Below are 27,133 nucleotides of genomic sequence, written 5' to 3' on the forward strand. Positions count from 1 at the left end.
CGGTGGCTCACACCTGTAATCACAGCACTTTTGGAGGCCAAGGTGGGTGGATCACTGGAGGTCAGGAGTTGGAGATCAGCCTGGCCAACATGGTGAAATCCCGCCTCTACTGAAAATACAAAAATTAGCCAGGCGTGGTGGTGTGTGATGGTAGTCCCAGCTACTCCACAGGCTGAGAAAGGAGACTCACTTGAACCCAGGAGGCACAGGTTGGAGTGAGCTGAGATCGTGCCACTGCACTCCAGCCTAGGAGACAGAGAGAGACTCTGTCTCAAAAAAAAAAAAAAAAGAAATTAAAAAAATAAAATAGAAATAGAATAATATATCCTTAATCTAACAAAGCATCTACCAAAAATTCCTAAATTAAACTTCCTATTTAATGGTGAAATATCAAAAGCTATCCTTTTGAATCCGGATGAAGCGTATCCAGAAAAGAAGGAAAGAATAGGGCAAGGAGGAAGAGACAGGAGAGGACAGCGGGGAAAAGGAGGGAGTGTGAGCTGCACCCGTGTAACCTGCCTGCCCCAGCTCCTCCACAGCCAGGCTGTCCTCCCCACCCACCCCGCCCCTCCACCATGGGTCTCTCTGCTATGGGACCACTCCCCGCTCAGCAGGCTCTCGAGCTCCAGCCCCTCTCCAGGAAATCTCATCTCCCAAAACTCTGCCCAGAACTCTAAAGTGAAGCCAGAGTTGAGGGAGCTCCTCCTCCAGTGTCAACCTGGCTCCCACCTCCCAGTGTGGGAGAAAAGCAAAGCGGGTGAGCTGGGAGGAGTGCAGGCTTTGGGGACAGGCCATTCTCCAGGTGTCAGCCTGGCCGCAGGGCCAATGGTGCCTGGCAGAGAACCACAGGGCTCAGTAAGCAGAGGCCACGCAAGCCCTAAGGTCAGATTTGAGTAGGAGCCAGTGTGGCCAGGTGGGCAGGGGCCCTGGTTGAGGTGACCAGAAATCCCATCAGCACCACTGGGTCTCTTAGAAGATACTCAAGTTCCCAAAACAACTGGGGGTTAGAGGCAGGGGATTAGTCAGACCTCACCTTGGACAGCAGCCCCAGCCCTGTCTCAGCCCCAGGGACACCAGGGCATGGGGCTGTCACAAGGAAGCTGGCTGAAGGCCAGGTGCCTGTGCCTTGACTGAGGGACACGGCTCAGGTCAGTTTGCTCCATGACTCCTGGGACCCTACAGACCCCACTCCGTGTTCTCCTGCAGCCCAGTGCACAGCACGCTGCTCTGCTGTGCCAGGTTGTGTTGTGTTGAGTTGTGCTGTGTCATGTGCTGTGTCACTGTTCCTGCAGACTCCCTGTCCGGGAGCTCTAGGGCCCTGACCTCTAAGAAGCCCCAGCCCCGAGCCAGCCTCAGGCAAGGTCTGCATCCCTGCTGCCTCCGCTTCCCTGGCTCAGCCTTGAAGCTCCCGCTGACCCCTCTGCCACTCACCAACCACCCATCACCCCCTACTTAGAGGCCAGGAAGCAGCAGGGGTCGTTTCCCCCTTCTCTTCACCCTTTCTCTCTTCCCTCCATTCTCCAGGACATACAACTCCAACAGAAACCAGAAATCCTGCAAATGCCCTGACCCACCCACCAACCCCAGGGCACCTCCTGCCCAGGTATTTGGCACAGGGGATGCCCTCACACCGACCCCATCATGTGCCCTCGTGGCCCCGAGGCTGTAGCATGGGATGCCTGTCTGGCCCTGGACCTGCCCTGGGCCCTGCCCTCTGCCACCGCTCACAGGACAAACCCAAACAATTGCTGTCCTCCCTCTGAAATGGTGGTCATGGGGGTGCAGGGAAGGCCTCACGTCCCTCCTGTGCCCAGGCCCCTCACCCCAACACTCTGGCTGGCTGCATCTGCTGCCCAGAGCCCTTGGTCACCAGGCGTGCAGCCTGGACCACGCTGATGGCAAGGGAGGCCCTTCCTAAGCCTAGAGGTGGTCTAAACCTTCATGGAACTGCTGGTCACAGTGCCAGCCAGAGTCCCAGGTGACGCTGAGATAGCTCAAAGTGGTGCATGGGAGATGTCTGATATCAACCCTCTCCTGGAGGTAGATGATGTCTCCAGCCTGGTGACTTCCCTGGCCTCCAGCCACCACCACCCCCAGTGTCCCCAAGGCTGAAGGTGCAAGCTTGCCCTGGCCCTGGTCCTGGCATAGAAAGTGCACGATCTGGTCATGTCATGCAGGTGAGGATACTTGTGTGCCAGGTAACCTCAGGCAGGCATGGTGGCGCTTGTGGGGCAATCCTGTAACCTGCAGTGTGGTGGGTGGGATGGGTGTGTGTGACACAGGCAGGAACTACTCCTGATGGCAGCTGACGACCCACATGTGTACTGGGTGGGTGCCAATGGGAGTAGCAGGTGAGTGGCTGAGCACAGGCAGGTGAATGAGTGACAGCTACACAAACCCCACCACTGAGCACGTCCCTCCCAGGGCAAAGCAGATCAGATCACAGGCCCAGCCCTGGGAGGCCCAGAGGAGCCTCAGGTCCTCAGGAAGGCTCCTGGCCCTCTTCGCCCTAGGAGGACCCCCCCCCCGCCCCAAGCCGGCTCCACCTGTAGCTGTGGGCGTGGGAGGGAGACAGAGCGCTCTGGCGGCCAGAGAAGGAAGGAAGATGGAGGGAGGGCGGACTTCTGCTCCCTGACGCTGCTGCTAGGCCCCCTGCGGCCCTCCTGGAGCCCACACCTTTCAGCTGCAGTCTCCCAGCCTTCGTCCCCAGGACGAAGCCCACTAAGCCAGTGCTTTTCCACTGCAGCTGGCTGTTCCGCTTGGGGAGGGTTCCCAGATTGTGCAAAGTGAGGAAGGGTCCCCTGTCCCTGCCCCGCAGGGCCCCCACTCCAGGCCTCCCCCATCTCTCCCTGTCTCTCTCAGAGGTAGAGGCAGCATTAAATTAAAATTTAATTAAAATATTAAAAATAAAGTAAAAAATTCAAATATACAACAGTAGACTGTCTGGCTTGCATACAAAGAAGGCCATTGCCCCTTTGGGTGAGCCGGGCAAGGTCAGGGTCTAAGAAGCGCCTCTGGTGAGAAGCGGTTGTCAGGCTCTGATGGCTGCGGGAGGAGTGACTCCTCCCAGGATGAGGGTCTGTGTCCTCTCAGTGCTCACTCAAGTTCCGTATTTCCAAGTCCTTCCAGGGGGCGTAACGCACGTGAGAACTGCCATTTCTGTCACAGATACGTGGCCGCATGCATTTCCAGGAAATGTCCTTGGTTCGCGAACTACAGCTGGCACAATCCAGCCCAGGGCGTTCTGTGAGCTGTAGTCTCCAGCAAGTGAATTCCAAAAAAACCTCAAAGACCTCAAAGACCATACAGGGTGGACAGCGTAGTAGCAGGGTTTGGGAAGAGAGGAGCTCTTTTGCTAGCAAAGGCGAGAGCTCGCCTGGTACAAGGTCTGCCCACGTCCCGGGAGATAAACATTAGTGTGAGCGCACGCTAGACCCAGAAGAGTTTGCCACGGCCGCACGGTTTTCTGGGAAGTGTAGTTTCTTGGTCCCGGCGCCATTGTCCTTAAAAGTAGAGGGTGGCCCTTGGTTCCGAGGTGTATCTTTCACCTCATCAGTATGACTATATGCCCCAGGACACTTCCCGCATGGTCCTAACTGCCGGGCTCTGGGACGACAGCCCCAGGCGGTTTAGTTTTTTAGGAAACCGAGATCTGTTTGCCCGCGGCGCCCCAGGTCCGCGCGGCCGCAGAGACTCCTGGGAAGTGTGGTCTTCCGGTACCTGCGGTTCGTTGCGCCTGGAATTTTGTCCCCTGCGCGGATGATTCTGGGAAATGTCGATCGGCTGTGGGCGGCGCACTGGGTCCGCCCCGCTGTAGCCTCAGGCCTGACGGCGACTCCCAGGCTCCGGGACGATTCTGGGCAGTGTCGTCCCCAGAGGTCGGCGGCCGTTGCCCGCTCACCAGCGACGCGGGGCGCCTGCGGGGACGGTGAGGCCCTGCTGAGGACTCCGGCCAGTATGAGTCCCGGGGGCGGCGGCGGGGCTCAGGCCCTGGGTCTGCCCCGCGGTGTGACCCCGGCCGGTGCCTTGGTTTTCCTGGCCTTCATGTCCTCCTATGTAAACGCGGGGTGATGACGGCGCCGACCTCTTGGCGCTGTTGTGAGAGTGAAGTGGGCGCGTGGTTAGACGCCAGCCACAGTTGTCTTTGGGTTATGTCGTCATGAAGCCGGCGCTCTACAGTTGTGTAACCTTGAACAAATGGGTTCAGTATCTTGGAATTTCAGTTTTGTCATCGTTTAAAAAATAGATCTGGAAAAATGTGAACGCACACCGTGCATAGTGGTGAAGACTGAACGAGCTGATAAAGTTTTTACCATTGTTTTATGAGGATTTTATTTACAGAGTAATTGATTTTCCTCGCAGGTGGCACCTGGTAAATGGTTAGCCCTTGCGGAGAAACACCCTGTTAGTTCCCAGGGAGAGATTGGCGCCCTGGAGAGTGATTACCAGTGTGCCTTTCCATTATGGTGTGTCACAGGTGCCGCAAGATAAGCCTGATTTTTCATGACTGCTTTTTCCTGCCCTTCTGTGCCCTCAGGACACTGCCCATCTCTAAGATAAGAGCCTGGAAAGAGGACTCTGTTGGCTGTTGGAAATTGCAGAGTAATGCCTCAGGTAGGTCGGTGTGTCCGCAAATCTTCCTGAAACACTTTATCAGGACTGTGTGTTTGCTTTGCTTCTCCTGCCTGTTCCCACCTAACCAAGTCCATTTAAGGGACTGGATCCATGGTTCCTTTCAGTATAGGAAGGACGGAGCCCACAGGAGAGCTCCAAGGTATTATCCTCCTCACCCAGTGTTCCTCTTTTCTACAGTTTTCTGCTAGAAGACTTTCTAGTCTTGCCAACATTTTAAAACTGTAATTCACAATGCAACTTTGGAATGTAAGGTTATTCGGTTTATGGTTGTCAAAACTGTACCATGTGGTCTCAAGTGAAGAGATGCTTGCAGTCATCCTTGATTCTTCCCTTTGACTTATACCTATATTCAGATCCTCTAGTTGGAGCTAAGCTATACACTGTATACAGAATCTGACCATTAGTTACCCCAGCACTACCACCACCACTACCACCCCGGTAGTGATAGCAATAAAGCCACCTGGATTATTGCGGTAGCCTCCTAGCTGGATTCCCTGCATCTGCCCTTAACCCTCATCAGTCTGTTCTCAGTACAGCTGTGACCGTGGTCCTATTGTTACATAAATTCCTGTCATTCCTCAACCTATAATTTTTCAGTGGCTCTAACTGAGTCACTTCTGCAATGACCTATTTGTACAATTAGGCCATTACCTTTCTGATCCCACCTTCCTTCTCTGCCTCCTCATTCCTGTGAGCTCTAGCCACTGTCACTAGTTGCTGTGCCATCGACGTGGAATATTCTTCCCCCACATACGCACAAACTTGCATCCTTATCTTCTTCGTGTGTTTGTTCCGTGGTTACTTTCTCAGAAAAGCTTCCCTGAATGGCTATTTGCAATCGCAGTCACCTTCCCTCGCCTAGCACTTCCACTCCTCCATCACTGCTTTGTTGTTTTCCACAGTGTGTGTCACTCACTAGCTGATGTACTGTATGTTCAGTATATGCACATGCTCATTGTCTGTTCCTGGTGGGAGGAATCTTTTTTCTTTTTTGTTGTCTGTTATAGCTTCAGTACCCAGAGGGTTACCTGGCACCAAATAGATGCTTAGTAAGTAATTGTGGAGTGAATAAGATGAGTAATGACGAACTGGTGGGGCAGAATCATGGCATGGAAGGTGAAGCTTGCATAGGAGGGGATGTGAGTAGCAGATGTACATGTTGGGTGAAGTCTGTTTTCTTGGAGAAGTTAGATAATTAGAATTGAAAAACTGGTGTGGTGGTACATGCCTGTTTTTCCAGCTATTCGGGAGGGTGATGAGTTGAGAAAATTTCTTGAACCCTGTGGTGTGCGGCTGCAGTGAGCTATGATTATGTCACTGCACTCCAGCCTGGCGGCAGAGCAAGAAAAAAGTAACAGCTAAAGTGAACTAATGCCAAAATCATTCATTGGTTCATCTTCTAAACACTTAGGAAGTATCTGTTAGGAAAAGTTGTACATGGATTTTGGTGTACACTGACACACAGGACTTCATGATCTAGTGCAGTATTGTCTAAGAGAACTTTCTGCAGTGGTGGAAGTGCTCTGCATGTGTACTGGTCAGTACAGTAGCCACCAGCCCTGTATGACTATTGAGTACTTGAACTGTGGCTTAAGCAACTGAGAAACTGAATTTTAAACTTTACTTATTTTATTTTTACATTTTAATTAATTTAAATGTATGTAGCCAAATTGCCTAGTGGCTACTGTATTGAGGATTGCAGCACTGGTAGAAAAGTAAGAAAGCATAAGAAATTAAAATAAATGCCAGGACAGATAGGCTATGTTCTTTTGGGGACAGAGATGAGTGAACACCCCAGGCTGCCCAGACAACTGAAGGGGAAGAAGGAAGCATCCCTGGCTCTAACTTGTAATAACCTGTTCATCATAAAGCTATGAGAAATGTTTTTTTGATTTGGGATAAAGGGAATTAACTAACACAGTGGCAACTCCAATTAACAGGTGAATTTAGGATAAATTATGTGTAGCAAATTGAACTGTAAGGTCTTACTTGATTATTTGGAAAATGTATGTATTGGATTGTATCTGCTTGGCTATAAAAAAGAGATTTCTTCCTGTCCTTTTAATCTCATTAGTGGATTGCCTGTGAAGTGCATCACAGTTGATTTAGTGATTATTAAGTAATAAAACTGTGTTCTTTTTTTCTACATTTGTGGAGAGGATTTTCTGCCATTGGCAGGAGATTTGAATTTTAATTATTTTCCCAACACCTGGCAAAAATAAATTCTGCCTTTAAAACCAAAGACGAGTATCACTGGTGAACATGCATGCAAAATATCCAAATAATGTAATACAATGCTGAATTAACTCTCAGAGCTAAAAAATTACCACAGGCAAGCAGTCTGTTTCACAAATCAAAGACAGTAATAATGCTGTATTAAATAGATGTATTTTTTGTACATATTATAATTTGACTAGCCAATAAACTATTATTGAATATTTAAGCTTCCAAAGTTTTACTAAAAAGTAATATTGTGAAATGAGTACTATTGAAAGGAATTTCTAAGCCACATCTGTGAACATTTCCTTATTTTCTTTGAAACGTACCCCTTTATTTTTTTCCCTTTACTTTCAGGTCTTATTTAAGGACTATCTAAGGCAGTGGTGCCCAACCTTTTTGGCACCAGGGATCGGTTTTGTGGAAGACAGTTTTTCCACAGAAGCAGGAGGTGGTGGTTTGGGGGTGAAACTGTTTCACCTCAGATCATCAGGCATTAGTTCAATTCACATAAGGGGCGTGCAACCTTAATCCCTTGCATGCGCACTTCACAGTAGGGATTGCGCTCCTATGAGAGTCTAATGCCATAGCTGATCTGACAGGAGGCAGGGCTCAGGTGATAAAAGTCATTTGCCTGCCACTCATCTCCTGCTCTGTGGCCTGATTTCTAACAGGCCACAGACTGGTACCAGTGGTTATGTACCCCTAACCATCAGGGGATTAGGGACCCCTGATCTATGGCATGAAACCATCCTTCAGTCTTTTCACCCAGGGGTCTCATATTTTAATAATTGTCTATCAGTACAAAGTTTAAGTATACACCATAAATATATTTTTCTTTTTTGTTTATGAATCAGTTATGTGTATATTTTAGTCCATTGGTGCTGCTATAACAGAATACCACAGACTGAGTAATAGAAATTGACTTCTCATGGTTTTGGAGCCTGGGAAGTCCAAGATCAAGGGGCAGGCATCCAGCAAGGGCCTTCTTGCTGTGTCCTTTTATGGTGGAAGGGCGAAGAGAAGAGAGAGAACCAAAAAGGGGCCCAAACTCATTTTTTAAATAAGGAAGTCACTCCTAATGATGATGACATTAATCCATTCATGAGGGCAGAGCCCTCAAGGCCTAATCATCTCCTAAGGTCTCACCTCTCAAAACTGTTACAGCGGCGATTAAGTTCAATACACGCGTTTTGGGGGTCACAATCAAACCATAACAGTGTATGTCTATTAGTCTTTAATATAAAGGTTTTTTTTTTGTTTTTGTTTTTTTTTTTGAGACAGAGTCTTGTTCTATTACCCAGGCTGGAGTGCAGTGGCGCAACCTCCGCCTCTTGGGTTCAAGCCATTCTCCTGCCTCAGCCTCCCAAGTAGTTGGGATTACAGGTGTGAGCCACCACACCCAGCTGCCCATTTTTTGTGAGCCTTAGTGGATCATCCTGAGTATCCCATTTGAGAGACAATCACTTTACCCTCATTTTTTAATTACTTACCTAGCAGTTAAGCTGTAAAAGATATAACTAAATACTTGACTCTGTGCTGTCAAATGTCAAATGCTGATTTTTAAAAATTCATGTATTTCTGTAACTTTTAGCAAAATTAACTCTACTGAAGCAAAGCTCTCATATTTGTTTCTCACCTTTATTGTATAATAATTCTAAGCACATAACTGTCCCCCTTATTGTATAGTAATTCCAACTACATAACTGTCCTATTATTACTTAACTGAGATCACATTCCCAATCATTGCCACAACTCCTGAATCTTGTTCCATTTCTCCCACAACCAGGCTAATTTTACCCTTTCTTCAGTGACAGAAGAGGCCTGGGCTATGGCTGAGCCTAAATATGTTTGCTATTTCAGGTGACATTTAATGATGTGGCTATAGACTTCACTCATGAAGAGTGGGGATGGCTCAGTTCTGCTCAGAGGGACTTATACAAGGATGTGATGGTCCAGAATTATGAGAACCTGGTCTCTGTAGGTAAGGATATTACCCCTTCCACTCCAGTAGGGGACACCTTTCTTTTGCCACCCTGAATTGCTGGAGACCCTCCTAAGTAAATGGCTGAATTTCTGTAGCATGTTCCCAAGGAAATGTGCAGCTCTGTTGTGCCCTGCCTGAAGCTTATCTTTCCATTTCGATGAATACCCTTCATCCCTTCCTGTGGTCCCTCTTGTGATGGCCTCTCATAATAGAGGACCACGGCTTAAACAATTCTGTATTCTTCCTGTAAGCAGGTCTTTCTGTAACTAAGCCATATGTGATCACGTTATTGGAGGATGGAAAAGAGCCCTGGATGATGGAGAAAAAACTGTCAAAAGGTATGATTCCAGGTGAGTCATGGTGAACGAGACAAAGGAAGATTTTGTTAAAAAGGGTCCCAAACTCTTTATAGTGAGTTTATAGTGAGTGTGGAGGCATTTTAGGTATACTGTTTTCAAAGATCTCAGATAGAAATGAAAAATTGTGGGATATTTAGCTTAGATTTTCAAAACAATTGTTCCTCTATCCCAAATTATTATCTGTATCACTCATGTCATCCAATCAAGGTTAGAGGTTTTTGCCTTCATAATAATTCAATTGTTACTCTATTCATAACAGTAAGGCAAATTATTCTTTCTTAAATCTACTTAAAGAAAAACATACTGATAGTTTTAGGCTAAGAAAAGCTGTCAATTAGATGGGAAATCACTTTTCTAAAGCTGAGCGTTGTAGATGAAATATGAACATATTAGAGGAAAAAATGAACATATATAAATATGTTTCTAGGAATATTTTCTAATGTCCAATAAATGACATGATTCACACAGTTTCTTCATAACTTCAGAAAGCCTAAATCTTTGTCAGCTATAAAGAGCATTTAGATTATTGTGTTTTTACTGCAACTGTTTAATAACATCAATTCTGTATTTTAAGCATGTTAATCTGGCAGCAAATTGAGATTAATTGAATGTTGGAGAAAAAGGCTATGAGACAAAATGCAATCTTTCATACATGCATATAGGCACAAAATGATGGCTTGGAATCCAGAATGCCTTCCACATTTTATTTCTGATAACTTCCTTTTTTTCCATACTATTTCATCCATTACATATATTTTTCCCATTTCCATTATCACACTGTGTTCCCACTTCTGTGAACTCTGTATTCTCTGCTCCATTTGAGCACTGTTCAGAAATCATTGAAATATTTCAGTTGTCAGAACTATGTGTTTTCTGGGGGCTTCATTTCTAATCCAGTTCTCCTAATTCCAATTTAGAAGTTTCTTTTCAAATAGTTAAAAAAAAACAAAACAGTGCTTTGCTTTTTTGATGTATTTCAGATTGGGAATCAAGATGGGAAAACAAGGAATTATCAACAAAGAAGGATAATTATGATGAAGATTCACCCCAAACAGTAATAATAGAAAAAGTTGTAAAACAAAGTTATGAATTTTCAAATTCTAAGAAGAATTTGGAATATATAGAGAAGTTGGAAGGGAAGCATGGAAGTCAGGTAGACCATTTCAGACCAGCAATTCTCACCTCTAGAGAAAGCCCCACTGCAGACAGTGTTTACAAATACAATATATTTAGAAGCACCTTTCATTCAAAGTCTACTCTTTCTGAACCACAAAAAATTTCTGCTGAAGGGAATTCACACAAATATGATATATTAAAGAAGAACTTACCAAAAAAGTCAGTTATAAAAAATGAGAAAGTCAATGGTGGAAAGAAACTTTTGAATTCTAATAAAAGTGGGGCAGCCTTCAGCCAGGGCAAATCTCTTACCCTTCCCCAGACTTGTAATAGAGAGAAAATCTATACATGCAGTGAATGTGGGAAAGCCTTTGGCAAACAGTCAATCCTCAATCGCCACTGGAGAATTCATACAGGAGAGAAGCCCTATGAATGTCGTGAATGTGGGAAGACTTTTAGCCATGGCTCATCCCTTACACGACATCTGATAAGCCATAGTGGAGAGAAACCTTACAAATGTATTGAATGTGGGAAGGCCTTTAGCCATGTCTCATCACTTACTAACCATCAGAGCACTCACACTGGAGAGAAACCATATGAATGTATGAACTGTGGAAAGTCTTTTAGTCGTGTGTCCCATCTTATTGAACATCTAAGAATTCATACTCAAGAAAAACTCTATGAGTGTCGTATATGTGGAAAGGCCTTCATTCATAGGTCATCTCTCATTCACCATCAGAAAATCCATACTGGAGAGAAGCCTTATGAATGTAGAGAATGTGGGAAAGCTTTCTGCTGTAGCTCACACCTTACTCGACATCAAAGAATTCACACTATGGAGAAACAATATGAATGCAACAAATGTCTGAAAGTCTTTAGTAGCCTCTCATTTCTTGTTCAGCATCAGAGTATTCATACTGAAGAAAAACCCTTTGAATGTCAGAAATGCAGGAAATCCTTCAACCAGCTTGAATCACTGAATATGCATTTGAGAAATCACATTAGATTGAAACCCTACGAATGCAGTATATGTGGGAAAGCCTTTAGTCATAGGTCATCCCTGCTTCAACATCACAGAATTCATACTGGAGAGAAACCTTATGAATGTATTAAATGTGGGAAGACCTTCAGCTGTAGTTCAAACCTTACCGTACATCAGAGAATTCACACTGGAGAAAAGCCATATAAATGTAATGAGTGTGGGAAAGCTTTTAGCAAAGGCTCAAATCTTACTGCCCATCAAAGAGTACATAATGGAGAGAAACCCAATAGTGTGGTAAGTGTGGAAAAGCCTTTAGACTATATGAATCACTATACATGTGAGAAATCTTACAGAAGAGAAACTGTATGAAGCAGTGGTTATCATGGTAAATTTCCTAGATTCTCCCTTATTTAACATTAGAAAAATTTATACTGGGGAAAGTCTTATGAATGTGGTGAATATAGGAAGACCTTTTAGCAAAGATGCAGGCCAGTTTGTTTATTAGACTTTATACTGTAGAGAAATCATATGAAGACCATAAATGTGGGAAAGCCTTTGTCAGTATTAATCCCTTAATTGACATAAGTATACTCACACTAGGATAAAACCCTGTACATGTAGCAAATGTGGGAAAGACTACAGACAATAGGAATCTTTTACAAACTCCTACAGGAGAGAAGCTGTATGAATGTAGAAAATTTAGAAATTGAGGGAAGTCTTCAGTTCCAAGTATATCCCTTATTCTACAGCAGAGAACTCAAAATGGAGAGAAATCTCATTTAAGAGATGTAGCAAAGTGTTCACTAAGAGTGTTTATCTTGGTACACATCAGAAGATTAATGGTAGAACAACCTGAAGGATTTAGGAGTTATGTGTAAATCTTTGCAGTCATGCTATTTGTAAACTGGATTCTACAGGAGAGCAAATAAACATTATAATAAAATATGCATTTCTTAGAGCAGTAGCTTGCAGTTTCAGTTGAGTTCTACTTAGAAATTCTTTTTAGCTAGTGGGCATGTGAAGATATTTAGTCACCCAGAGGAGCCAGTAAGTGTTATAATATTGAAAATTAAAGCTGCAAAAGAAATAAAGTGATGTTAATAAAAGTTTTGGCATCTAATAAAATCATTTTGTATATCACAAACTCTTTCACTGTGACTATTTCCTGTAAAAAAAATTTCACTAAGATTAGCCTTAGCGTAGCCTTTAGTGGGAGACTAGCAAACCTAGAGAAAAATGACCTGCTCTTTATACTAAGAATAGCAGTATTTTGATGAGGATTATTCAGAGTCAATTTCCAGTAGGCTTAATCAAATACATTTCAAAAAAATTTACTGAGCATCACTCGTGTATTATTACACAGCGATGGGATATAGGAATCCAGTAGTTCTGAGCTTTAGTGGTGTGTCAAAGTCAGTAGGAGGGCTTGTTAAAGCACAGATTGCTAAGTCTGAATCTTAGGGTTTCTGTATGAGTTGATTTGAATTTGCATTTTTCATGCGTTCTTAGGCGACACACTGTCCAGAAAGCACATTTTGATAACCATTGTAATAATGAACAAAACAAATCTGATCTTTTTCTCGCAGGGATGTTATCTGACAAGAAAGATGGATAGCAAATAAATTTGAAATAATGGTTTACAAGTGCTATGAGGACATAACCAAGAAACAACATACTACAAGAGATCAGAGCAGGCTTAGCGAGATGTGATTTTTGAAATGAATCCTAAATGATGAACACTAATTATGTAATGAGTACTACTCATGTAGCCATGTGCATCCCTGCATGTGCCTGTGCGTGTGTGTATGCGGTGTGCTGGGTGTTAATCTAGGTAAAGCAGACAGTCGAGTTCTGTCATACTTGCTGCAGCTGGATTCCACGTTCCCATGTCTAGTTTCAGATTCTGTGGCTTTGAGGTAGTGCTGCTGGCAGCATCATTGCAGCAACCGTCATTTCTCTATCCCTGAGTCATAGTTACGGGAGTTTACCTTGAAATCACTAGCCCAGAAGTGTTCTCATTACTTTTACAGCCCACCTACCAATTTTGAAAGCACTAATTTGCAGCAATATATGTCTTGAAATAGTTAAGAGAGATTTTGTTCTCTGCACTGAACCTTGACAGATAATTATGTTTTGTAAGGAGGCAGGATGGCTTCAAATATTCTAAGTTCTAGATAAGAAATGGAACAGTCTCACTGGCCCTGTGATTAGAATCCTATCTTGTGATTAGAAAGGTAATGCAGATCAATTTGATTTGGAGTGTATGGACACTGATGCAAGTGAAGGGGTGTGATATGGATTATGCTTCAGATTTTGTTCTTTATCTCAGGTGAGAGTAGTAAGATATGTTATTTTAAAAAGGAACATTATGTTATAGTTATGATAATTCTGGTGTGGAATGAGTGATAAGGTTTCTGACTTTCAACAAAATGTATCTCCTCTGATATATGTGCTACCTTAACAGAAAGCCAAAGCACAGAGGCATATTCCAATAGCAATTTGCAAGAGACAGTAGGTTTGGAATGGGGTGGTAAACTTTTACTATTTTGCAGGGATTTTATCTTTCATTTGATTTATTTTTAATCATGAAATTTATATTGAAATTCTGTGAAACATTGAAGGATCTTTGGAAGATTTATAATTAGGGAAGGGCCAGATGTAGTGGCTAATGTCTGTACTCCCAGCACTTTGGGAGACCGAGGCAGGAGGATTGCTTGAGGCCAGGAGTTTGAGACCAGCCTGGGCAATATAGCAAAACTCATTAGTCTGTTAAAAAAAAAAATTACCCAGGTGTAGGCACACATCTGCAGTCCTAGCTATTCAGGAGGCTGAGTGGGGAGGGATTGCTTGAGTACAGGAGTTTTAAGGTCACAGTGAGCTATCATCACACCACTGCTTTCCAGCCTGGACAGCAGAACACCACCCTGTCTCCAAAGTAAATAAATACAATTAAGGAAGCATGATGTGGTATCAGACAGTTGCAAGTATGGATAGACTGGCTACCACATATATACTTATGGGATAATGAGAGTAGCTTTCTTTTCTCTCATTCTGTGTCCTTTCTCTGCTCTCCCAAGCAACTGGTACCACAGAGATGAAGTAGTCCTATAATGCCCAGATTTTGTTTCCACTACACATAGTTTAATGCTACCATGTCACTTTGTTATGAGAGGATTCATCGAAATACCTGTGCTTTGTCATTTAAAAAGCATGGGCATACACATGATAATGCTTTACGTTTCTGGATTTAAAGTGCCTTCACAATACAGAACTAGGAAAAAGAAGGCCATCTTTTTAAATGAAGATAGTTTTAAGAGAGCAATAAGAGACTATTACTTTGTTATGATAGAAGGTTGGGCTGATGTCATAATGATGTTATGATGTCACTGACATCATATTATTTCCTCAGTCATACCTATTAACCATTTCTTGAGCATCCACTATGGGCTTAATAGATAAGAAACACTCCATACCCTTTAAGAGCCCTGAGGTGTGTGTGTGTGAACAGCATTAAACTTTGGAGTCATGTTACCTGGGTTTAAATCCAAGTTGCATGAATACTGGCTTTGTGTGACCTTGGACAAACTATTTCACTGTGTCTTGCCTCAGTTTCTCCATCTGTAAAATGATAATAAAGCTATCTCACAGCATTATTATGAAGATTAAATGCATTAATTGGTGTAAAGTGTTTACAACAATCCCTGGCCTCTCAATAGCATTCAATAAGTATTAGCTATTGATTACATCATCATTGTCTTCTCATGGTTGCTTCATCATTCTGGTCTCAAAGGTCACATCTAATCACTTGTCACTCCCATGTGTTTACTGTTTAACATTTTTAGAGGAGAGCTCTTACAAAACCCCCCGATTAACTTCCAACAAATTCTTGAGTATCTGAGCCATTTTGAGGGAGGGAATGTTTCTTGCCCTAAATAATCTGAGGAGAAACAAAGAGACCAGGTAGGAGATGAGATGGGAACCTAGCAGGTCTATGGGAAGGAAGGAGGGTGCCCTACAGATTTGGAAAACGGGCCGAGTGAAGGAGGCATCAGGCTTCCACATGAAGGAAAGGGGAGGCTCTACCCAGAGACCAGAAGCCTACAGGTCTTCATCATCATCTCTGAATACAGAGTCCTGTGGGCTGGGTGCCACTGCTTTCACTCTTCCTAAATGGAGGTTAGAGCCTGTCATTGAAGGTCACTGATGCCTGGAAAGTCAAACAGTTTCCTTGTTAGCCTTGGGCCAGTCAGATGTGATTAGAGCTCAGTTGTTGGTAAACATCTAGAAAGAAGCAAGGCACATATCACTGAGCACTTCCTGGGAACTTATTTTTTTGCTGCTGAGGGGGAGTCAGTCTTTAAACAAATTGCAATTGTGTTAGAGAAAAAAGCTTTATATGCAAAAGTAATTGATGCAAGATACAAGACAATGACAAGGCCATATGGCCCAAGAGGTGCAGAGTGTAAGCACTCTGGCATCAAAGATAAATAGGGAAAAACTATAATCATAATACAATACTGTTAATAGCAGCAGCAACTGGGCCTTGTGTTTGCACTGTGTGCTGCATTGAGACAATTAAATGTTCTATGCTCTGGATCCAAATTCCTAGGTGTGAATTCAGCCTATTGGGACTGTCGCTTGCTTACTCTATAAACTTGGTGAAGTCACTTCATTTCCCAATTTTTCCATCAAAACAAAAACAATTCCCATCTTACCAGCTGGTTGTAAGAATTAAAAGATTTATAAAGCAAGCAACAAAGTGCCTCTGCATGGAAGTTTGTTGCCGTGTTTTTCCTGCTTTTAATAATCTTCCCACATACTGTAAGGTAAATGCCATAATCATCTTCATGCTAGTGACCTGAGTCTCTCTCAGAGTCACACATCTTAGGAATATAGGCTACATTTGAACATTCAGTAAAAGACCACACAATATTGCCCTCCTAGGACAGATCTCAGAAGACTGGGGTTTCTCTTGGCAACCATACAGGCTCTCTTGGCCTCCCTGAACAAAAAAATGTCTCCTTTGGCCATGCTGTTCCTTCTGCCTAGAATGTGTCCCATACCCCATTTATTACCACGCTTACCTGCCGAGGGAGTCCTGCCTACCTTGCAAAGCTCACTAGGTGTGTCAAAGATGAACAAAGCTGGACATTTATGACAGTGGGGAGAACGGACTTTAATTGGTAATAACTATTGCAATGGGGAAAGGAATTTGGCATGAACTGAACCCAGCTTTGATTTGTACAGAGGTGAATGAGTATGTTAAAGGAAGGGTGAGGAAATAGGGAGGGGGTGGAGAAGAGGGGCTCAGTAGAGTCAGAAAAGTGAAAAATTACAAAACACAGGAAGGGAGGGGGCTGGTCTATGTGCAGTCTATCTGGGTTTGCTACTGGCACTTGAATTAGGATCCTATCCTCCCACAGAGACTGTGAGACAGGGGTCTTATCTTCAGGTGTTGGCTGGAAGAAATTCTTTGGACAGCCTTGAGTTTTTCAGGCCAGCACTTTAAAAGTTATTAGAAAGTGTTAGTGTTGTTCAAGTCTTAATAGGCAAAAGTTGACAGGCCTATTAAAGAAGGCTCAGAGGGGCCTAGCTAGAGTTTGGTGAAAGAAAGAGAAATCTTTGTCAGGTATCACCTCAGGCTTCCCCAGCCCACTGAGGAGGAATGGTGGTGAAGAAGAAGAAAGAACAAAGGCTCAAGGGCTCAACATACAGGATGTGAGTTTCCGCCAAGAGTTGTGTGACCCTGAGAAGATAACTTAAGTTTTCCAAACCTCAGGTTCCTTTTCTGTAAAGCAGGAATAATAGAACCTAACTCTGAGGAAATTGGGATTAAATGAAGTGCTACATAACAAGTTACCCTCAGAACTCAATAAATGTAGTTATTATTGTTACTTAGCCTCTTTGCTTCCACACCACCCTGGAAAACCGAACCAAGTCCTGATCTCTACTTTTGTAAGTGTGCCACATTCTCTGCACAAAGATTCCAGAAGATGAGAAATACTTAATCTAGAGCTAGCAAGGCCAAAGGGAAAAAAAAAAAAGACTCTCCTAGTAGGTGACATTGACATTGGTGCAGAACAGGGAAGGATGCAAAGGAGGAGAGGAGAGGGAGAGGCACTGCAGAGATCTGGACTCAGTGTCCCAGGCAGAGAGAAACACTGGGAAGTGGGAAAGAGCTTAGAATGATCAGGACAGCTTGGCAGGAGAGCAGTGAGCAAAGGAAGATGGAGTAGAGGGCAGATTTATAGGCCTAAGGATGTATCTCCCTAGAAATAGCATCCAGAGGGATGTTCCTTGCACAGTGCTGGGCACTGGGAACACACATCACACATTAGCCATCTCTGATACTCTCATCTAGAAAGAATGATGGTTAATATTTCCCCTTTAAGCCTTCCTTGAGGAAAATGGAGGTGAAGGATAGCAAGATAGCTTGCACAAGGCCACAGCCCTGAGATAGGGTACAGCATGATCCAAACATGTCTCTGGATTCTGCAGGCCATGCCTCTCCCAAGGATCTGCACATGCCACTGTACATGAATGGGGGATACTAAGAAGTTATAGTTCATACTTCCCCACCACATACCACCAATTGCCAAGAAAGAGGAACTTTCTTTTGTAATACTTGATTTAATTCTAGGACTCTGGACTGAGAGTGACCCTATCAGCAGGAAGAGAAGGCCTGAAGAATCCCAGGATGCCACGATCCTCCATGTCAGCATGCCACAGCCATGTGGTTGAGAGTCCAAGAATGTGAGACTAGTTAACACACCTGTGCTAGGAGGGAGGCGACTGTATCAGTACTTCACTCAGCTGAACTCTCTCCTAGGCCCTACAAAGGTGTCTAGATGAGTCCTATCCTCCTTACTGGCCTTCCTAGCTTGGTCCCAAAGAGTCACCTGCTCCCCCTGGGTGGTGTGGTCAGACAGGTCATGTGACAAATGAAAGTCCACTGTAGCAGTGCCAATAGTGCAGGCCACAATAATGCAGGCTGCAGGAAACACTCCTGTCCTAGGCTCTCATTTGGGCATATGAAGCACATCCTTCTAGGTAATGTAGCTCTTCATATTCTTCGAGGCAATGGCTAAGTAGCACCCAGAGGGCCACTAGGAATGAGCATCAAAAGACTCTTATGAAGAGAGTGGTACTTCATTTCTTAAAGGTGAGTACCCAGTTTTCCATATTTTACTGCCTGCAACAGATCACATAAATATTTAGAGACATATTATTTCAGATACTATAAAATACTACAAAACCAAATATGTGGAGTATGATTTCAGGGAAAATGACCAAATAGGAAGTGCCACGAATCTGCCACTGTACCTGAAAAACTATTCTGGCATCTTTCTGAAGTAACTATGTTGGAACTCCAGAGTTTACCTGAATGCTTGTAATTTCCAGCTTGCCTAATAAATTACAATTTGTGTTGATTGCAGCCATCAGAGTGGTATTGGCTACACATTCCTCACTCCCAGCTCCATGGCAAGCAGCTTTGGGGATGGGAATGTCATTCTGGTGCAGATTTCTGGAGCCAGGGTGGGCAATAAGTCCCTTATCCCACAGATACTGAGGTTTTGTGTTCTGACTGTGGATTGGTGCTTCTGATCTTGTGGGCTTGTAGGCTAGTCATCATTGTTTCAACCCCCACTGGATGAAGTGTCTTTTCACAGATATAAAAGAATTGCACCTATTTTTTTGTTTGTCTTCAAAAACAACTACATATACGGAAGAATTCAGAAAGCCACCTCACATGCCCATGGAAAGATGCAAGCACTGAAAAGACCTTCTTCAGTTTTCACTTTAGGCCGATCTCTGGCACATAATTATCCCATAATAATGAAAACAGAGGCAAAAATGCAGCAAATCCAGGGAAAGGTGGCGGGAAATATGATTTCCAGAGTTACCACATGGTAAGATTCAAATGCCCAGTCTTCTACAACAACAAAAACCTGAAGGCATGCCAAAAAAACATAAAAGTATGGCCCAATTAAAGGAACAAAATGAATGGAGGGAAAACATACTTGAGGAAACCCAGATGTCAGTCTCGCCAGAAAAAGACAACTGTCTTAAAGATGCTTAAAAAGCTAAAGACATGAACAAAGGAAAAAGATGTATGAGCAAAATGAGGATAGAAATAAAGAGATAAAATGATTTCTAAAAAGAACAAAAAACATTCTAGATCAAAATTTACAGTAATGGAAACAAAATATGAATACAATAAAGGGATTCAGAAGACATGCAATCAGAGGAGAGATTCAGCAAACTTAAAAACAGGAAAATACAAATTATCAATATAAAAAAGAATGAGGATTGGAACTTTAGCACAACAACAATTTGGGAATCCCTGAAGGGGAAAAGAAAGAAAGGGGCAGAGAAAAATACTTGAAGACATAATGGCTGAAAAATCTCCAAATTTGATGAAAGATATGAATTTGCCAACCCAGCAAGAGTTCACCATGAATGAACTCTAAGCAGGAGAATTGTGAAGAGACCCACACTGAGACACATAATCAAATGTCAAAAGCCAAAGACAGATAATCTTGAAAATAGGAAGAGAGAAGCAACTCCTCTCATATAGGGGATCCTCAAGACTATTAGCCAGTGTCTCATCAGAAACCTTGGAAGCTAGAAGGAAGTGGGTCAATAAACGTAAAGGGTGAAGAAAAAAAGCTGTCAATAGAGAATTTTATATTCAGCAAAATGTTCTTGAAAAATTATGGAGAAATTCACATATTCCCAGATAAACAAAAGTGGAGGGAGTTGATTATCACTAGACCTGCTCTGCAAAAAAAAAAAAAAAAAAAAAAAAAGGCTAAAGGAGGTCTATCAGGTTGAAATTAAAAGAAGCTAAAATGTACCCAATGACAAAACTCCATGGACATAATCAGTACTGGAGCTCAAATTACAGTTATACCGGGGGATCCCATTAAATTTAAGCATTGTGCCTCTCCTATCTTAAGAAAGTCACTATATATAAAATAGAGAAAAAGTAGGAATGCCTCACTTTAAATGTAGCCTTGCCTATATTTCCCAAGTCATAATACCCATTGCCCTAATATATCCCATATTGGAGCATAGATGCTCTAACATAAATCATAAATTAAGGTAGGTCTTTTACAAACTGGCTTGATAAAATGGGACCCCATGAATACCCAGTTAAAATAGTTAATCTGGTCCAATATAGGGTACAACAGGGCCTTCAAGGGTTAAACCTAATTAATAAAAAGGCAATTATCCCAACTGCTTCTCTATTTGATATCCCAATCTTGCCTGTTAAACCTGGGGGATAAAAAAAGGGTAAAGTGCCTCATGGTGCATTACTATAACCTTAACAATGTGTTCCTACCAATTAGGGCCCCCATACAAAACAGCTAATATTATTAAAATTACTGATTCTATTAAATCAATAATGAGCAAATATTTTGCTTTTATAGATTTGGAGAGTGTGTTCTGTTCCAGGCCCATTTCAATAGCCTCTCAACTACAGTTCACCTTCATTTCTGAAGGAACACAATACTCCTGTTTCAGGCTACCTGTGGGGTACCTCAGCAGCTCTGCCATCACACACAGTCTTTGCAAGATAGATCATAGCTGCATCCATTTTTCTCCAGGAGCACAGGGTGGAAGGCTGGATCGAGGGTGCTTATTTTCCTTGGACTCAATGACCATAGAGACTGTCCCATGCTTCAGGCAGCTACTCATCTGCTATGGCACCCATTTGAGCCTAGACTTCCACAAACAAAAACAGAAGATCTGTTGAATGTACTGCACACTGTTCTGGTAACTATTGGTCTCCTTACTGCTGATTGGGATGATTCACTGGTTTTCAATTCAGAGGTCTAAACTCCCCAAATAAGCCTCAACCAAACATGGCAAATGCTGAGTTGCACATCAACTTGAGAGGGTACCCATTTAAAAAGGACACCCAAGTCCCACATCTCAGATGATTTCACCCTTGCCCAGAAGCTCACTGCTGGAGATGACACTGCCCCAGCCCAAGTCTTTGCCATTGTAGATGACTTTACCTCTTGTGCCAGGGACAACTTCACCCCAGATATGAAAACCTCTGTCCCAGTGGTGCCTATGGAGTGCCTCTCCTAAGGCATGCATTAAACATGGGGTATTTATGCTTTTCTCCCTTGGATGTTAAAGGTTCTACTATGTTTCTGAGCTTGCTGTCTGCCTAACCTATGATTCTGGTATATTCCTTGCTCTTTGCCAAAATGTACACCCTACACTTCCATGTCTAACAGGAAATCTAGTAGAGGTTACTACTATCTATGCCGTTCTAAAAATTAGTGGAAATTACTGCTTTCCTCGGGAGGCATCTGCCTCAAATCAGTCAACCCCTTCTCCCCCTAGAAAGAGTACCATTTACTCCCTGATGCCTTTTCTACTCTCACCTTGCATCTCCTACTATGATCACTCTTTCCCCTTGATCACACACAAATACCACTAACCTTTACATATACCTATCATTTCATACCCTTCCAACATTACAACTGCCAAACTTGTCACTTTGACCTGAACATGTTTCTAATGCACTTAATAACACTACCAAGATATTGTTAGTGACCCTAAAGATTTCAGAACTACTGTCTTGGATAATACCATATAACCAAATTTAAAAACTCCCAAAGCGCCATTTGCTTAAATCTACCACCTGCCTTCATTCCTCACCAGGGATGGCTACATGTTATGACCAAGTTAACCTATGGGCTTACCACTTGTGCCCAGGAGCCAACCAGCAGTGGCCAATTCCCCACCCCGAGGCCTTCACCCTCCTTACAATGATACTCTCATGGGTACACTATACTCTGAATAATGGCACATTTGGTTTTTTTTGTGGCTTGAAATCACAGGCACAGCACCTTATGTATTTTTCCTTGCCAATCACCCTGGATGTTTTCCCTAATAAAATCTGGTAAATAGTGTTTACACTGGGGATTGCCATGGTTCTTTGTCCACTTGGTACTTCCCTGTTTCCATTAACCCAAAGACACAAGGCAAAATGGGCAGTGTTTATCCCTATCTTAATAGGACTTGCCATAGGCACAGGAGCCACCACTGCTGACACCAATACAGCAGGCTTTGTCGAATAAGATCAAATCATAACTGCCAAGCAGCGTCATTACGTGGCCCTTTCAGATCATATTCAAAGGCTGTACAAAATACTGTCCTTAATACAACAAGCCCATGAGTCTCTAGCTCAAATGGCAATAGATAACAGGCTGGCTCTTGACTATTAGCCAGGGAAGGAGGAGTTTGTGCCACTCAGGATACCTCCTACTGTATGTACATTAATAACTCTGGACAGGTACAGGCCAACTATGAGGAACAGGTCAAAAGGTAAAGGTTTTTCATGACTTAGCCAAATATTCCAACAGATTCCCTTAAATCCAGGGGTGCCTGGCCCATTCTCTTGGCTTTCCTCCACAAAGTGGGATGCCGTGTTACAAACTGGATACCAAACCCTCATCATATGCCTAATAGGACTCTTCTGAGCTGTTACCTTTATTAAAGTTTACCTTCAGTGGCTAAGTCATGCTGTCCCAGGCACCTTTAACATCACAACCCAGGTGGCAAGTGTTATCCATCCGATTAGTATTGTAATGATGTTGAGGCACCACAGGGCAAACTGTAATGTAAATTTTAAAGCACTGTATTTTCCTGCTGCCTCGGTATCCCCACAAACAGGCTGTGAGCCCCCCAGCCAGCTATACCAGTGTGATTAGGCTGGCCCTGCCACAAGTTCTGTTGTGCTGTTTGTGTACTCCATCCTGGCTGCCAATAAAGGCACTTCCCCATAGGTCTTCATTCTCTTGGCTCCCTAACAGCTCAGTTGAGCCAGCCTCCTTGATGCTGTCTGTGCCCCCTTGGTTCCCTTGGTGTGCAATGACTCTCTCTCTAGGACCTGTAAGTATAATAAAACTTTGTTCTTTGACAAGCCTCTCCTGCGTTTCCTCCTCTGCCTACACCTGACTGACAGTCCTATGAGCACACAATTTAAATAGTTCTAACAACACAGGAATCATGCAAAATATTCAATCCAAAGGCAGAAGTGGGGTCGGGGGAGAAAATAAAGAGAATAGATTAAACAAAGAGAAAAACCAATAGCAAAATGATAAATTGAAACCCAGCAATATAATCACACTAAATTCAATGACCTAATTAAAAGGCAGAGATTTTCAAAGTAGATAAAATGCAAGATCCAATAATATTTCGTACAAGAAAACCATTTTAAATATAATGACAAAAATTAATTAAAAATCAAAGGACATGGCTGGGTGTGGCGGCTCATGCCTGTAATTCCAGCACTTTGGGAGGCCAAGGCAGGCTGATCACCTGAGGTCAGGAGTTCAAGACCAGCCTGACCAACATGGAGAAACCCTATCTCTACTAAGGATACAAAATTAGCAGGGCGTAGTGGCAGGCGCCCGTAATCCCAGCTACTTGGGAGGCTGAGGCAGGAGAATCGCTTGAACCTGGGAGGCAGAGGTCGTGGTGAGCCGAGATTGCGCCATTGCACTCCAGCCTGGGCAACAAAAGCGAAACTCTGTCTCAAAAAAAAAAAAAAAAAAATCAAAGGACACAGATACACCATTGTAATAGTAAGCAAAAGAGCACTAGAGAGGCTGTATTAATATTACACAAAGTTAACTTCAGAACAAAGACTATTACCTAAATATTTATATACCTAATGAAAGAACTTAAAAATGATAGATATGCAAAGAGAAATAGACAAATCCATAATTACAGTAGTTTTTTTAAAAAAGAAAACACCATTCTCTACATAAGTGACAGAACAAGTAGAAAATCAGGACTCAGAAGACATGAGCAACACTCTCGACCATATTGACTTACTTGACATTTATAGAACACCCAACAAGATCAGAATGCACACTATTTTCAGTAATAATGTGTAAACATTCTTCCAGGATAGACCACATTCCAGATCATAAAACAAACCTCGACAAATAGAAAAGGGTTCAAGTCATGCAAAGTATGTTCTCAGACCATAATCAAACTTCATAGATCAAAGAAGAAATCAAAAGGGAAATTAAAAATTATTAGAACTGATTGAAAATTATGTCAGAATTTATGGAATGCTACTAAACCAGTATCTGGAGTGAAATTTATAGCATTAAAGGCCTATATTAGAAAAAGAATGAAAGGTCTCAAATTAATGACCTCAGCTTTAGAAGGTTGAGAAATTCTGACCCAAGTGTAAAACATACAACTGTTAAATTTTTAGAAAAAAGGAAAAAAAAATTTTGTGTATCTGCTAAAATCATCCCATGACTTCACATAGCAATTAGAATTAAATCCAAATTTCATGGTACCCTATCTGTGCATATGGCCTGCTACTCCACTCCATCATTAATTTCTATTCTCCCTGTCAAGCCACACTACATTGAGCTGTATCCTCCAACAGTCCAAGCTCTTGTCACCCTTGAGGTCTTGGATATGTGGTTCTCTCTTCGGGACTCCTGTATGCTTCCTGGTTCTGCATATCACCTAACAGACTGTAGGTTCATTTTCCCATGTGTTTAATGTCCACCTTCCTACTCTTACAGAGAGTAACACAGCTCCATGGAGAAGTGCATGGCCAAGGTCACCCAATGGGTCATGGAAACACTAAATGATCCGAAATCCCAATCTATCATCTAGGCTCTTAGCCACCAGGCTCAAGATAGGTACAGCCACAGCTACAGCAGAGGTGGTCACTGTGAGGGAGGATGGGGTCTTCAGCTCTTCCCAATGAGTAGAAAACTAAACTGCTATCTGTATATATGATTGTGAATTCTATATTTGAGAATTCACCTACTAAAATTTTGTTATAACTCCAAAATCAATACTTTGAGGTTTTTGCATTTTTGCAGTCATTTGCAGACATGTGCAGAGTGATGAAAAAAATGATTCATCAAGCCTGCATGTCACCAGCTGAGGTCAAAGGTGATGCCTACTTTCTTGTTTCGGCATTCATAATGTCGTGTCATTTTCAGTCATTTAGTGCACAATGGCTCATGCCTGTAATCCCAGCACTTTGGGAGGTTGAGGTGGGTGGATCACTTGAGGTCAGGAGTTCGAGACCAGCCTGGCCAACGTGGTGAAACCCCGTGTCTACTAAAAATACAAAAATTAGCCAGGTGTGGTTGTGGTTGCCTGTAATCCCAGCTACTTGGGAGGCTGAGACAGGAGAATTGCTTGAACCCGGGAGGCGGAGGTTGCAGTAAGCCAAGTTCGCACCATTGCACTCCAGCCTGAGCAAGAAGAGTGAAACTCTGATTCAAAAAAAAAAAAAAAAAAAAAGATTCATTCAGTCATGAGTTATACTGCTGTTGTCTGAGAGTTCAATGTCTACAAATCAACAACACAATACAACCAGAAATAGGAGGAGGAAATTCACCTGTCTGTACATGAGGCAGCTCCTAAAAGTATAAAAAGGAACATCTATAATGCATAATGCATGATGAAGTTATAGAAAACATGAAAAAAGGCTAAATTTATGGGTGAATCAGATGATGACCAATAGAAAAGAATAGAGGACAGCATTATTGTGAGTCTTAAAGCCAAAGAAATTTATGGTCACGATACCTAAGTAAGGAAAATGCTAACCCTGCTCAGCTAGTGCTGGCTACTCACACATTTCAAAAGGCACTACAACATAAAATGTATTAAACTTGCAGGCAAATTCTTCTGGGGGCTGTGGAAGAATTTAAATAATATCCACTAAATGTTATACAGGAAAAGGGTTATGTGAAAAACCAGGTTTCAACACTGATGAGAATGGCTTGTTTTAAAAGAAAATGAATCTATATAGCACAAATGGCCTCCAAAGTCCCTTACTTTAAATCATTCAAAGATCCTGCAACCTTGCTACTGTGCATCAGTACTAATGGTGACTATAAGTGCAAACCACTAATGGTGTAGAGAACCCCAAATCCGTAGGAACTTAAAGAGAAAAACCTGAGCCATATGCAAGTCCACTGTAAGTGGAACAGAAAAGCATGGATGACTTCAGAACTATTCTGGGATTGGTTTTACAACTGCTTCATCCAAGAAGTTGAATGCTATCTCCAAGGCAAAAACTTTGCCTTCAAAGTTTAATTAATTTTAAATAATGCTCCAGTTCATTGCCATAAAGAACTTGAAAATTCCCACTGCAACCTAGACATTCTTTTTATGGCCACAAACACATGTGTCATACAACCCTTCAATCAGAGCATACTTAAAAGCTTTCAGGGTGCACAACATGAATGACCTTTATAGCAAGGCTTGTGAGGCTCTCAACACCAACAAGGAAACCACCGTTTTGGACTACTGGAAGCCAGTCACTGTATGCAATGTTATTTAGGCATCAAAGTCAGTGATGATAAAGATGGTGACGAAGGTCAGCCTAAGATTCCAAGAACTGTTCTCACAGCAGCAAAAATATCAAACTGAAATCCTGCCCTGGAAACATTTTCAATTACATGGAAGAATGTGACCCTATGCTCGAATGTAGCCTCAAATTTAAGCCCCTAACCTCCAATGCACTCCTTTATGCTGGGACACTGAGGTGGAGCCGGGCACAGTGGCTCACGCCTGTAATCCCAACACTTTGGAGGCCGAGGAAGGAGGATCACTTGAGTCCAGGAGTTTGAGACCACCTGAGCAATATAGTGAGACCCCCATCTCTACAAAAAACAAATTAGCTGGGCATTATGGCACATACCTGTGATCCCAGCTACTTGGGAGGCTCAGGTGGGAGGATTGCTTCAGCCCAGGAGGCAAGGCTGCAGTCAGCCGTGATCACTCCACTGCGCTCTAGCCTGGGCAACAGAGTGAAACCCT

The 27,133-nt window shown here is 42.9% G+C and overlaps 1 protein-coding gene and 1 long non-coding RNA gene across 11 annotated transcripts, besides 7 other annotated features; one reads left to right on the forward strand and one right to left on the reverse strand.

Annotated features, from left to right (window-relative positions):
• Window positions 928-1,138: a silencer, noted in NCBI's record as "fragment chr19:35222265-35222475 (GRCh37/hg19 assembly coordinates)". NCBI's record gives its function as "represses an EF-1alpha promoter that drives an FKBP-Casp9 reporter gene in an ReSE screen in K562 erythroleukemia cells {active_cell/tissue: K562}" and the evidence as "EXISTENCE:reporter gene assay evidence [ECO:0000049][PMID:32094911]".
• Window positions 2,659-2,718: an enhancer, noted in NCBI's record as "active region_14450". NCBI's record gives its function as "activates an Ori minimal core promoter by ATAC-STARR-seq in GM12878 lymphoblastoid cells {active_cell/tissue: GM12878}" and the evidence as "EXISTENCE:reporter gene assay evidence [ECO:0000049][PMID:35858748]".
• Window positions 2,936-3,453: an enhancer, noted in NCBI's record as "H3K27ac-H3K4me1 hESC enhancer chr19:35224273-35224790 (GRCh37/hg19 assembly coordinates)". NCBI's record gives its function as "activates a minimal SCP1, AML or CMV promoter by ChIP-STARR-seq in primed H9 embryonic stem cells {active_cell/tissue: H9 hESC(primed)}" and the evidence as "EXISTENCE:reporter gene assay evidence [ECO:0000049][PMID:30033119]".
• Window positions 2,936-3,563: a biological region, named in NCBI's record as "H3K27ac-H3K4me1 hESC enhancer GRCh37_chr19:35224273-35224790".
• Window positions 3,174-3,563: an enhancer, noted in NCBI's record as "active region_14451". NCBI's record gives its function as "activates an Ori minimal core promoter by ATAC-STARR-seq in GM12878 lymphoblastoid cells {active_cell/tissue: GM12878}" and the evidence as "EXISTENCE:reporter gene assay evidence [ECO:0000049][PMID:35858748]".
• On the forward strand, window positions 3,811-14,946 carry ZNF181 (zinc finger protein 181). 10 transcript variants are annotated; one of them, XM_006723183.4, is made up of 5 exons: window positions 3,811-4,178; window positions 4,538-4,614; window positions 8,716-8,836; window positions 9,091-9,189; window positions 10,179-14,946. In XM_006723183.4, the coding sequence occupies exons 2-5, from the start codon at window positions 4,606-4,608 to the stop codon at window positions 11,663-11,665; spliced, it is 1,716 nt and encodes a 571-aa protein (XP_006723246.1). In that variant the 5' UTR covers window positions 3,811-4,178; window positions 4,538-4,605; the 3' UTR covers window positions 11,666-14,946. The 10 variants fall into 10 exon arrangements, with proteins under 10 accessions (XP_006723246.1, XP_047294703.1, XP_016882228.1 ...); XM_047438747.1 differs by having other exon boundaries at window positions 9,091-9,177; XM_017026739.3 differs by having other exon boundaries at window positions 9,094-9,189.
• Window positions 3,844-3,893: a silencer, noted in NCBI's record as "silent region_10507". NCBI's record gives its function as "represses an Ori minimal core promoter by ATAC-STARR-seq in GM12878 lymphoblastoid cells {active_cell/tissue: GM12878}" and the evidence as "EXISTENCE:reporter gene assay evidence [ECO:0000049][PMID:35858748]".
• Window positions 3,994-4,053: a silencer, noted in NCBI's record as "silent region_10508". NCBI's record gives its function as "represses an Ori minimal core promoter by ATAC-STARR-seq in GM12878 lymphoblastoid cells {active_cell/tissue: GM12878}" and the evidence as "EXISTENCE:reporter gene assay evidence [ECO:0000049][PMID:35858748]".
• Window positions 14,947-16,451: 1,505 nt separating the features above from the next.
• LOC124904698 (uncharacterized) lies at window positions 16,452-27,053 on the reverse strand. Its single transcript, XR_007067235.1, has 2 exons — window positions 27,015-27,053; window positions 16,452-21,020 (listed from the first exon to the last, which is right to left on the reverse strand). It is a non-coding gene; the product is annotated as an uncharacterized LOC124904698 (long non-coding RNA).
• Between the last annotated feature and the right edge of the window lie 80 nt (window positions 27,054-27,133).

Source organism: Homo sapiens, chromosome 19, assembly GCF_000001405.40.
Source record: "Homo sapiens chromosome 19, GRCh38.p14 Primary Assembly".
NCBI lineage: Eukaryota > Metazoa > Chordata > Mammalia > Primates > Hominidae > Homo > Homo sapiens.

Coding starts and splice junctions, on each gene's coding strand:
- ZNF181 (NM_001029997.4), top strand. Junction 8,837..9,090: donor TGAGAACCTGGTCTCTGTAG/GTAAGGATATTA, acceptor TCTTCCTGTAAG/CAGGTCTTTCTGTAACTAAG. Junction 9,190..10,178: donor GTCAAAAGGTATGATTCCAG/GTGAGTCATGGT, acceptor GATGTATTTCAG/ATTGGGAATCAAGATGGGAA.